General features: G+C 41.6%; 1 long non-coding RNA gene across 1 annotated transcript in view; it reads right to left on the bottom strand.

Annotated features, from left to right (window-relative positions):
* DLEU1 (deleted in lymphocytic leukemia 1) overlaps positions 1–12,007 on the bottom strand; it is a 446,475-nt gene that overhangs the window by 128,554 nt on the left and 305,914 nt on the right. Inside the window, exon 3 of the long non-coding RNA NR_109974.1 lies at positions 9,799–9,892. This is a non-coding gene — a long non-coding RNA (deleted in lymphocytic leukemia 1). The remainder of the gene's footprint in view (positions 1–9,798; positions 9,893–12,007) is intronic.

The following is a 12,007-nucleotide window of genomic DNA, read 5'->3' as shown; positions in this document are numbered from 1 at the left end:
CCTACAAAACACCTGCCCGATAATTTTCAAATCTTTCAAAGTCATGGAAACCAAGAAAAGTCTGAGAAATTGTCACAATCAAGAAGAGACATGATGATTAGTGGTAATACGGTATCGCTGGATAGGATTCTGAAAGAGAAAAAGGACATTAGGTTAAAAACTAAGAATATCTGAATAAAGTATGAATTTCAATGAATCATAACGTATCAGTATTGGTTCACTAATTGTAGCTAATGTAATATATTAATTTTACTGTCTTACACTATCTATAAGATACTGCAGAGTATGCGCGAACTCTCTGTACTATCTTCTGAATGTTTCTGTAAATCTAAAACTGTTCCCAAAATAAAGTTTATTATAGAAAATAAAACAAATGACAACACACCTGGTCTTTTAAAGACATATGAAATATAGGCCTAGATGACTTAAAATTTCTCTGTCAAATTACCATAAAAGTTTTTAAAAACTTACTGTCACTTTCTATATTCCAACCACCAGGAGTAAGTGGTTCTCAGACTGGCTTCGGTCTGTTGACTATCTTTGAGGAACTCTCAATTTGACTCTAGGGTTCAGTTTCCTCATCAGTAAAATGGGAGCATAGGGCTATAGGATCATATTCCCCTCTGGATAGCCTCTGGATAGCCTCTGAAGTGCTGTGCTAAGTGATCGATCACCGTCTGCCAAAACAGCAGGTGCTCAGAACCAGATGACTAGAATCAAGCCCCCTTCCATGACGATGACATGAGGTCCTCACTATCCAGCATTGTGAACAGCTGTCCTCTCCCTAAACCTCTTGAACTCCAGTAATACAAAGGCTACTATCTCTGGCCTTTTCTTTTTTTTTTTTTTCCAATACAGAACTAGAAAAGAGGGAAAACATAAAAATAATGCTATGTGTTCAGGCTGTCACAGATGGTCCCCAAACCAGGGTGCTGAGTGTTCTTTTTCTGTCTCTCACTTGGAACCCCAGAAACCCAAGAGAAGACTCTGGTGCCGGGAGACTAATGGAGTTGCAACCCAGCTGTGGGCCAGGAACCAGAGCGCTGTCTGCAGACCATGAATTGTCATAGTACAGACAGGGCACAGTATGAAAGAAGACACATCACAAATGGGGAAGCTGATAAAATAATTAGAAGACAAACCTTCCAACGAGCAAGAAAGAAAAAAAAATGGCAGTTGAAAAACAGATGGTGGCAACCTGTCCCATTGAATAGGTTTTTGAGATGTGAGGGGTAGGTTTTAAAACAACCCAAGGAAATAATTTTACATCTGAGATGGCCAGAGATTATGCAATTTCTTGTGGATCTTGGAAAGCCAAGAGCTGATGCCCACAACTAAAGCCCCAAGAAACAGGATGCACACAGAGCAAAAGCCAACAGGGAATTGGAATGAAGAACACTGGTCACCACTCAGACTCCATGAGTGAGATGAAGGATATTTAAATATTGTAACTTGGAAGGAATTTAAATATTGAAACACTTTGGGAGGCCGAGGCAGGCGGATCACAAGGTCAGGAGTTCGAGACCAGCCTGACCAACATGGTGAAACTCCGTCTCTACTAAAAATACAAAAATTAGCCAGGCATGGTGGTGCACACATGTAGTAATCTCAGCTACTCAGGAGGCTGAGGCAAGGGAATCACTTGAACCCGGGAGGCAGAGGTTGCAGTGAGTTGAGATCACACCACTGCACTCCAACTTGCGACAGAGCAAGACTCCATCTCAGATAAATAAATAAATATTGAAACTCTTATTCCATGTGTCATTCATATGTTATCTCCTACTAATTATATATTATTTCCTATTACTTAAACTTCTACTACAAAACTCTGTGGTCCATCTCCTAGCAAAAGAGTCCGTCTACGTATTTGACCCATATTTTAGAAATTCTAAGAGATGGAATGTTTCAGCAAAGGTAATATTTCATAAGAGTAACGTATTGGCATAAGAGTGACATACTGGCATAAGAGTAGCACATTGGCAATGTCATGTTACTTGTTTTAATAAATAATCTCAGAATCTCAGTGACTTAACACATAAAGTATGGTTCTGCACAGGTCAGCAATAGGGGCTCTGCTCCAGGTGGTCTTTCAGGAAGCAGGCTTCTCCCATGCTGTGGCTCCTCCATTTTAAACACAAACCAGCAGAAATGGGTAGGGAAAGCAGAGAAAGGAGAAAGCCCATCCACTCTTACCTGCCTTGGCCTAGAAATGACACACTGCTTTGCTCACATTGCATTGGCAAGAACTAGTCACATTGTGTCCGGAATTGGTGGGTTCTTGGTCTCACTGACTTCAAGAATGAAGCCGTGGACCCTCGCCGTGAGTGTTACAGCTCTTAAGATGGCGCGTCTGGAGTTTGTTCCTTCTGATGTTCGGATGTGTTCGGAGTTTCTTCCTTCTGGTGGGGTTCGTGGTCTCGCTGGCTCAGGAGTGAAGCTGCAGACCTTCCAGGTGAGTATTACAGCTCTTAAGGCCGCGCATCTAGAGTTGTTCTTTCCTCCCGGTGGGCTTGTGGTCTCGCTGGCTTCAGGAGTGAAGCTGCAGACCTTCACGGTAAGTTACAGCTCATAAAAGCAGTGTGGACCCAAAGAGTGAGCAGTAGCAAGATTTATTGCAAAGAGCGAAAGAACAAAGCTTCCACAGTGTGGAAGGGGACCCCAGCGGGTTGCCACTGCTAGCTCCGGCAGCCTGCTTTTATTCTCTTATCTGGCCCCACCCACATCCTGCTGATTGGTAGAGCTCAGTGGTCTGTTTTGACAGGGTGCTGATTGGTGCGTTTACAATCCCTGAGCTAGACACAAAGGTTCTCCAGTCCCCACCAGATTAGCTAGATACAGAGTGTCAACACAAAGGTTCTCCAAGGCCCCACCAGAGTAGCTAGATACAGAGTGTCGATTGGTGCATTCACAAACCCTGAGCTAGACACAGAGTGCTGACTGGTGTGTTTACAAACCCTGAGCTAGATACAGAGTGCCGATTGGTGTATTTACAATCCCTGAGCTAGACATAAAGGTTCTCCACGTCCCCACCAGACTCAGGAGCCCAGCTGGCTTCACCCAGTGGATCCTGCACTGGGGCTGCAGGTGAAGGTGCCTGCCAGTCCCGCGCTGTGCACCCGCACTCCTCAGCCCTTGGGTGGTCGATGGGACTGGGCGCCCTGGAGCAGGGGGCGGTGCTCATCGGGGAGGCCGCACAGGAGCCCATGGAGTGGGTGGGAGGCTCAGGCATGGCGGGCTGCAGGTCCCCAGCCCTGCCCCGCGGGAAGGCAGCTAAGGCCCGGTGAGAAATCGAGAGCAGCGCCGGTGGGCTGGCACTGCTGGGGGACCCAGTACCCCCTCCGCAGCCGCTGGCCCGGGAGCTAAGCCCCTCATTGCCCGGGGTCGGCAGGGCCAGCCGGCTGCTCCGAATGCGGGGCCCGCCAAGCCCACGCCCACCCGGAACTCCAGCTGGCCCGCAAGCGCCGCGCGCAGCCCCAGTTCCCGCTCGCGCCTCTCCCTCCACACCTCCCTGCAAGCTGAGGGAGCCAGCTCTGGCCTTGGCCAGTCCAGAAAGGGGCTCCCACAGTACAGCGGTGGGCTGAAGGGCTCCTCAAGTGCCGTCAAAGTGGGAGCCCAGGCAGAGGAGGCGCCGAGAGTGAGCAAGGGTTGTGAGGACTGCCAGCATGCTGTCACCTCTCAACATGACCTCACCAGATACAAGAAGGCTGGGAAATAGTTTGACCCTGTGCCCAGGAAGAAGAAATAGGTTTGATGAGCACTAAGATGATTGCCAGGAGTAATCATAAGAGGCACTCTCAGAAAGCTGCCCAAACATGTTGGTCTTCAATAGTTTCACAAGGCTCAGAGAATGAAATGCTCTGAAAACATGGGCACTGTCTAGACAACTTTCTTATTAGCACTTGAGTCAGTGCCCCACCTGTTAGCACTTAATCACAGGATTAAAAGTGTGGGTTCTGAAGTTTGACTGCCTTTACTCAAATCTGGCTTCTGCTTCTTGCCTCCTGTGTAACCAATCTGGGATAAGTTAAACCTCCTCTTTGCAGCTTGGTTTTCTCCTTTTCACTTAGATGTTGGTACAAAGGATAAGGATTGTTACTTGTTTCAGAGACTGTGAAGTTTAAATGAGATAATTCTCATAAAACACTTCACATGGTGCCCAGTGCATAATAATTTCTTAACATTTGTTAAATACTTCTTACATACCAGGGAGTACCATAAGTGCTTTATATTAATAAACCAACTTAATGCTCACAAGAACCCACAGAAGTTGGAATAGTTTTCTCCATTTTAGACATAGAAAAAAAGGCCCAGAAGAGTTAACCAGTCCAAAGTGATACAACCAGTGAGGAGAAGAAAAAATTAGTAACCCAGGCATCCTGGCTTCAAAGCTAAATTGTTTTACCCTATCATCACCTGCCTTTCAATGAATATCCCCTATTTACTTGCTATTAGCACCTTTATTGAGGTGTAAATGATATAAAATAATGTACTTATTTTATATAAGTACAATCTGATAAGTTTGACGTCATACATATACATATACCTATAAAACTGTCACCACAATCAAGATTATGAACATATCCATCATCCCAAGACGTTTTTCTAGCCCCTTTGAAATCCTTTTCTTCGACTACTCTCCACTCCCCCTATCCCCAGGCAACTACTTATCTGCTTTCTGTCACTATAAATATCTGAATTTTCTAGATTTGTGTATAAATAAAATCATACAGTATGTCATTTTTATCTGCTTCTATCAGTATAATTACATTGAATTTCACTCATGTTGCATGTGCTAATAGTTCATTTATTTTATTGATAAGTATCCCATTGTATAGCTATACCACCGTTTATTTATCCATTCATCTATTGATGGACACTGATGGACATATGGGTTGTTTCTAGTTTTTGACTATTAAAATAAAGCTTCTATGAATAATCATGTTCAGTCCTTGTATAGACCCATACTTTGATTGCTCTTCAGTAAATACCTGTAAAATGACTGGGTTATTTGCTATCTATATGTTTAGCTTTTAAAGAAACTAGCTATTTTCTAGAATGATTGTACCATTTTACACATCCATCAGCAGTACATGAGAGTTCCAGTTGCTTCCTGCCCTCGACTTGCTATGGTCAGTCTTTATTCTAACAGATGTGTAGTGCTATCTCAGTGTGGTTTTAATCTGCCCCTAAGGAATAATGATATTGAACATTTTTAATGCATTTATCTGCCATCCATATGTCCTTTATGGTAAAGTACCTGTTCTAATATTTTGCCCTATTTTACTGGTTTATTTGTTCTCTTATTACTATGTTAAGGGAATTCTTTATATATTCTGTATGCAAGTCTTATTAGATATGTGATTTGAAAATATTTTCTTCCAATAGGTGGATATTCTTCATTTTCTTAAGTTTCTTGCAAAGAATAGAGGTTCTTAATTTGAATGAAGTCCAATTTATATTTTTTTCTTTTATGGTTTATTCTTTTGGTATGGGATTTATAAACATTTTTCCTAATACCTTGTCACAAAGATGTTCTCTTCTGTTTCCTTCTAGAAATTTTATATTTTTAGATCTTGAAAGTAGGCCTATGATCTCTTTTGGATTTGGATATGTTGCAAGGTTTGAATCAAAGGAGTTTTCTGCTTTTTTTTTTTCCTGTTTTTATGAATGGATGATCAATTGTTAAGAAGACTATGCTTTCTCTGTTGAAGTGCCTTTAAACCTTTATAAAAGTCAATTCACCAGATACATGAGATGTATGTTTCCATTATATCTACTTATATATTGTCCATCTTGATACCATTACCACACTACCTTGATTACAATAGTTTTATGTCTCAAAATTAGGTAGTATGAGTCCCCCAACTTTGTTGTTTTTCAAAATTATCTTGGCTATTCTAAGTCCTTTGCATTTCTATATAAATTTTAGAATCATCTTATCAACTTCTACCAAAAAAAAAAAAAAAGATAAAAGAAAAAAAAAGCCTTCTGGGATTTTCACTGGGAATGCTTTGAATTTATACATCAATTTGGAGACAACTAACAATATTGATTCTTTCATTCCAAGAATTCAGAATATTGTTCCATTTATTTATATCTTCTTTAGTTTTTCTTAGCAATGTTAAGTAGTTTACAACAGGGATCCCCAGCCCCTGGGCCACGTGGACCAATACTGGTTCATGGCCTGTTAGGAACCAAGCCACACAGCAGGAGGTGAGCAGTGGGCGAGCAAGGGAAGCTTCATCATATTCACAGCTGCTCCCCACTGCTCACATTACTGCCTGAGCTCCGCCTCCTGTCAGATCAGCGGCGGCACTGGAGCCTCACAAGAACGCAAACCCTATTGTGAACTGCACATGGGAGGAATCTAGGTTGCATGCTCCTTATTAGAATCTAATGCCTGCCTGATGATCTGTCACTGTCTCCCATCAACCCCATATGGAGTCCCATATAAGCTTGTAGGAAAACAAGCTCAGGGCTTCCACTGATTCTACATTATGGTGAGTTGTAAAATTATTTCATTACATATTACAATGTAATAATAATAGAAATAAATTGCAAAATTAATATAATGTGCTTGAATCATCCTGAAACCATCCCCCGACCGCCCCTGGTCTGTGGAAGAATTGTCTTCCACAAAACCTGTCCTCGGTGCCAAAAACATTGGGGACTGCTGGTTTACAATATACAGATATTACGATTATTTTTAGCAACTTCTTTTATATCCATATTATTTCTCTATACAGATTATATCTAAAAGTAGCAGGTCACTAATACTTCTCCTGTGTCTTCACTGGGCCTCCATTTCCTCATCTGTGAAGACAGAATAAAAACAACTGCTGCCAAAGTTGGGCACAAAATTGCATGTGTAAGGCACCTAACATTTGTGCCTATTGCACAATGCTGCTGGTCTGATTACAGAGTTAATAAGTTTTGTTTAATAAAAGGATGAAGAGGGAAATAGAGGAGTCATAAGGGTGAGGCAACAAAGTGTGGGTTCAAAGCAAGAGGCATCCAATCTGATAAGATTGAGCCTAAAAACAAAACAAAACAAAACAAAACAAAACCCAATGACCACAACAGCACTAATTGCTCAGAAATTAACCCGAAGACTCAGATAGCCAAATGAGGTGGTGTGGTGGAAGCAGTTGTAATGCTCCTGGCTAGACAGAGAATACATAGTAAGAATCTGTTGTGTGCACATACATTAAGAAATTAACAGGTGATGTTCCAGTTATAGGAATGGGAGCAACCAACAGAAATTTAGCCAGGAAAGGAGCTTGAGTATGTAGCACTGAATACTCTCTGCATATCTGGGTAGACTGTAACCTTGTCCATGTCCAGATAAGAACTAAATAAAGCTGACTCGTGATGCTTCTTAACCTCTATTCATCTGCTGATATAAGGGAGTCCATAACCCACCAGGAAAGGGGGCTCCACCCACTCAGAGTGGGCACTGATAACAAAAAACCCAGCAAAATGCTAAATGCATAGCAATCTACAAGAAACTCTTAGCTGACCAACTGTGAAAACATTTATAATCAGGGTTCTGAATTTTTTATTGATTGATGGGTGTGGAGAGAATAGATTTATTAATCAAGGTAATTAGCACTTGCTACCCACAACAAGCAAACCAGGAATCTCAGAGGCTTAGCAGGATAAAGGTTGCTTTGACAGGACATAAAGTTGCTGTTTGTTGGGCAGTGCTCCTGAAACTCACAGCTACACCATCTGGAACACACGGCCTCCAAGGTTGCCATACCCAAAAAAGAGAGCCACAGAGGAACCACACTGGCTCTTCACTGCCTCAACTCAGAAGATCTGCTCACACCCATTGGCCAGAACAAATCACATGGCCCTGAACTAACTGCTAGGGAGATTGGGGCATATAAAAATGCACACCATAAGCATTAACTATCTCTCCTGCAGAAAGAACTAGGTTCTTGCCCCCATTCCACTCCATTTTTCTCCTGCAGAAGTGATAGGAAGCAAACAGATAAGCTGTTCAAGCAAAGGGTCTGCTGTGAGGTGTGTTACATGGCCAGGGGTGAAAAAAATATGAAAATCTGGCCACGGTGATGGAGACACCTCAGTATTTATGGAAGGAATTTTGGAGCACTGCTCTCAATGACAGTATTCCTGTACCCAAATCTTTACACCCAAAAAGCTCTGAATATGTTCCAGTGTACTGAACATGTAACCAAGGGGTGGAAATAGGAAGGATCACACTTGTCATCACTCCCAGTGACCCACTGGGGGATTTCTGTCCTTCCTGCCCCCATAATTCTGGGTTCTGTAGGCTTTGACCCTAGAAGGGCACATTTTCGCCAGAGGACACAGCAAGTGTCCCACTGAACTATAATTTATGATTGTTCACAAGGCATGTTGGACTCCTAGTGTCCAGAAATCAGCAGGCAAAAAGGGTAGTCAACATATCATCTTATTATATGTCTGCAGGATCTGTAGTTATATCCCCTTTTTCATTCCTGATATTGATTATTTGTGTTCTTTTTCTCTTGATCAGTCTAGCTATGGTTCTATCAATTTTCTTGATCTTTTCAAGAATCAGTTTTACTCCTACCTGTGTCTTTATACTTAAACTGCATCTCTTATAACCAATATAGTTCCTCTAATGTTGTTTTATATTTTGTTGATATCTTTTCCTACCTTAATTAGTTCTACTCTTCTACTGCATTGGGATTTAACTTATTCTAATCTTTTGGCTTTTTAAGGTAGCCTTAGGTCATTAATTTAGACTTTTCTTCTTTTCTAATACAAGCACATAAAAATATAAATGTTCCTTTAATTACTGTAGTAACAGTTGCTTTAAAGTCTACATCTATTAATTCCAATATCTAGGTCATCTCAAGATTGATCTTCATTGATTATATTTTCTCTTCAGAATAGGTCAGGAATCTGGTTCCTGCTCTTTGTATGTTGGGTAATTCTGGATGGTTTCCTGGACACTGGGAATGTTTTGTTAGGGAGATTCTGCATTTCTGTTACACTTCTCCCGTCGAGTGTGATGTTTTTGTTTTGACAAAACTGCAAACTCTGTCTTTTGGGCAGTAGCTCTTATCTCAGTTAGGTCATTGACCCTTTACTGAGCTGCTTGCAGTGTGCCACATGCACACAAAGTTTGGGACTCAGCCAGAAAGTTGGGCACCTGATGCATGGAATTTGGGGCTCCCCTCTCTGGCACTCTTCTTTTAGAGGTTTCCTCTCACTTTCTTCTGGCTCTGGCTGCTCTCAACTTTTTCTTCTAGTTCGTCAGGCCAGAAAGACTATGGGCATTGTCTAAGGCCTGCTCTTAAGCTAAAAACCATAAATAGGGGAAGACACACCTTGTCTTATCCTTTCACACATGTGCCAACTAATCCCCATAATCTGCTTACAGTTACTCACCTTCAGATAGTTGTTCTTTGTATTGTTTATCTGTGGTCAGTCTGGTAGCAATTTAGCCATCCCAGAAGTGAAAATAAGTATGCACATTTTAAAGTAACAATTAGGCATAAGACATTTAAGTGTGTGAGTTAACTTTTTGTGTTCATTTTTCCACAATAAGAAGACTTAGAGGAGCAAAAGAACACAAGACAGCTTGGAAGTGGAGAATAAGTTTCTGGAAATTGAGAAAACACAGAAAAGGAGGTAGAGGCACCACGACAGCATAATTATGGGCTGAGTTGATTCTCGGTCCAGTCTGGCAAGAGTGATGAAGGTTACTGGTAAACATGTGGAGAGCCACATGCTGTGCTCCATACCTGCTCTTTGTCCCCCAGCCCCACTCTCCACTCTCACCTGCTGTCTGCCCTGGAGGCCAATCTATATGAAAACTGTGTCAAGGGTTCCCTTTTCCTCTGGCTTCCATTTGCATTCAACCAGTGGAGAATACCTGCAGGAGATTAAAGGGAGGGAGGAAAGTGAGGTCAGGATATTTTTCCCCCAAGATCTCTCCCTGGTAGGTTTCTGTGACTTGATTGCATTCCTCCACCAAAGGCCACATTAACTATCAGGCAGCCCTCTCAAAAACCTCTCTAGGTGCTGGTAAACACTCCTTTCCTTCCACCCTTCTGGCTTAGTGTTGGTAATGGCCCTCTACTGGGGCGCTGCAACATCCCTTGTTGCTTTTCCTAAATCCTGCGCACACTTTTGTAAACAGTTCCTTTATTAAACTCTTCCCAGCATGAGCGCACCATCTGTTTCCTGCCAGGATCCTGATGGATAGAGCACGCTCAGAAAAACAACTTTAACAGGGCCTTAGAAACAGGATGGTAAAATATCAGCCCACTGTCAAGGAGGGGAGAACACATTAAATACCTCCAAAATAATAACTCATAAGCTTTATTCACATGTATTGCCTAATTTAATGCATTTAACAACACTCAGATTACATAGGTAATGATATCATTTCCATTTAAAGTTGAGAAAATTGAGACTCTAAAGCAGGTGGGCCACTGGGATTCCCTGACCTTCTTTAGGCTATAAATCCTCTTATCTCCCCACTACCCCTAACCCATTTCATTCAGACAACACACACCACCAACGCTGAAATGTAGAGCTCTCCAACTTCTGGGGCAGCCAGGACATTTTTAAAGTCCTTGAAGCCCAGGAAGGGTGTGGTCATCCCAACTTTGCTCTGCTTCTGTTAAAATCCAAATGCTAGAAAAATAGTCCGTGGTAAATTCAGCCAGTTTGGAGACCTGAGCATATTGTTCAGAGACCCCTCTTGCATTTATTTTAAAGAAACTATTTTTAAAAACTAAAATGCAATATGGGAGTTGTAGTGTGTACAGCTCACTGAAGTATTCCTTAAACATCACTCCAGGGCTCCACAGGAGTTCCCAAGCTTCAGGTTGTGAAACTCATGATACAGAATTTAAGTCAGCAGAATAGATTAAGACCTCAGGCTCTGGGAATGGGCAGATCTGAGTTCCTTTACAACATTTGCTAGCAGCCATATTCTAGGCAAGCTGCAGAATTTTTCTTATCTTCAGTTTTCTCATCTGTAAAATGGAGATAATAATAATACCTACATCATAATGTTAAATAAATTAAATAAGCTCAGTCATTTTAAGTGCTTAATACAGAGCCTGGCTCACTATAATCACTCAATAAAATACAGCCAACATTAATATTCAGATTCAAATTCACAGCAAAGATTCATCTTATTATAATATGGCATGTAAATATTAAAAGAAAAATGTCTTTAAATCCTTCTGGACACATATTAAAGCTTCCCAATTGGGAATTTACAAAGAAATAGCCTTAAGAGTATCCAACATTGCTCCCATTTCCATTTCAATAAAAGACTCCAGAAGTTGCTGGTCCTCTAAATAAGCCTTGTCATTTCCTTAAGTAAACTTTCCATACCACTGGGTATAAAATGTAACAGAAAGCTATGTGCTCAATTTATTTTATAGTTTCTTACTTATTGTTTTCCATTTCCTGTTTCAAAGCTGTAAACGTTCCTTAAACTGCAGCTAAAATTACTATTGCCATTGAATTACCTAATTTCTTAGTGTAGAGTCTGGATTGGAGGGCACTCCACCCCCAGTGGGCTACAAGCGGCATGTTGCTAAGCAAGGGCTGTGCAGTTCACTCTTGCACGTGGTTCTGACTTTGCCATTTGATGCAGGTGGGTTCTTTCTGCAAATTGCTCATTAGAAAATCTGGATCCAGATTTTAACCATGGAAGTTATTCTAGAAATATTTAAGGACTGATTGATCCACCAGAAATGGGAACATTTTTACCATATTTGGTCATCGTTCACAGGGAGACCAGAGTTCTCCCTTGTAAAGGCTTTCAACCTATTAAATATTTTATCTCCAAATTCCAGTGAGTCTTTGGAAAAACCTCCAATCTATCCTTCCCCCTTCAGTCAAGGCCAGGATCATGGAGCCCTGCCCTCTAAGATTGACCCATGGAAAGCTCAGGGAAGCGTACTCCTCAGACATCAGTGTCCAGGCACAAGCAAGGCCTTCTGGGGACATCATTCCGTGGAGCTGG

Source organism: Homo sapiens, chromosome 13 (genome assembly GCF_000001405.40).
Source record: "Homo sapiens chromosome 13, GRCh38.p14 Primary Assembly".
In the NCBI taxonomy this organism is placed as follows: Eukaryota; Metazoa; Chordata; class Mammalia; order Primates; family Hominidae; genus Homo; species Homo sapiens.
The sequence above is the reverse complement of the archived record's forward strand: the minus strand, read 5'-3'. Positions and strand labels throughout refer to the sequence as shown.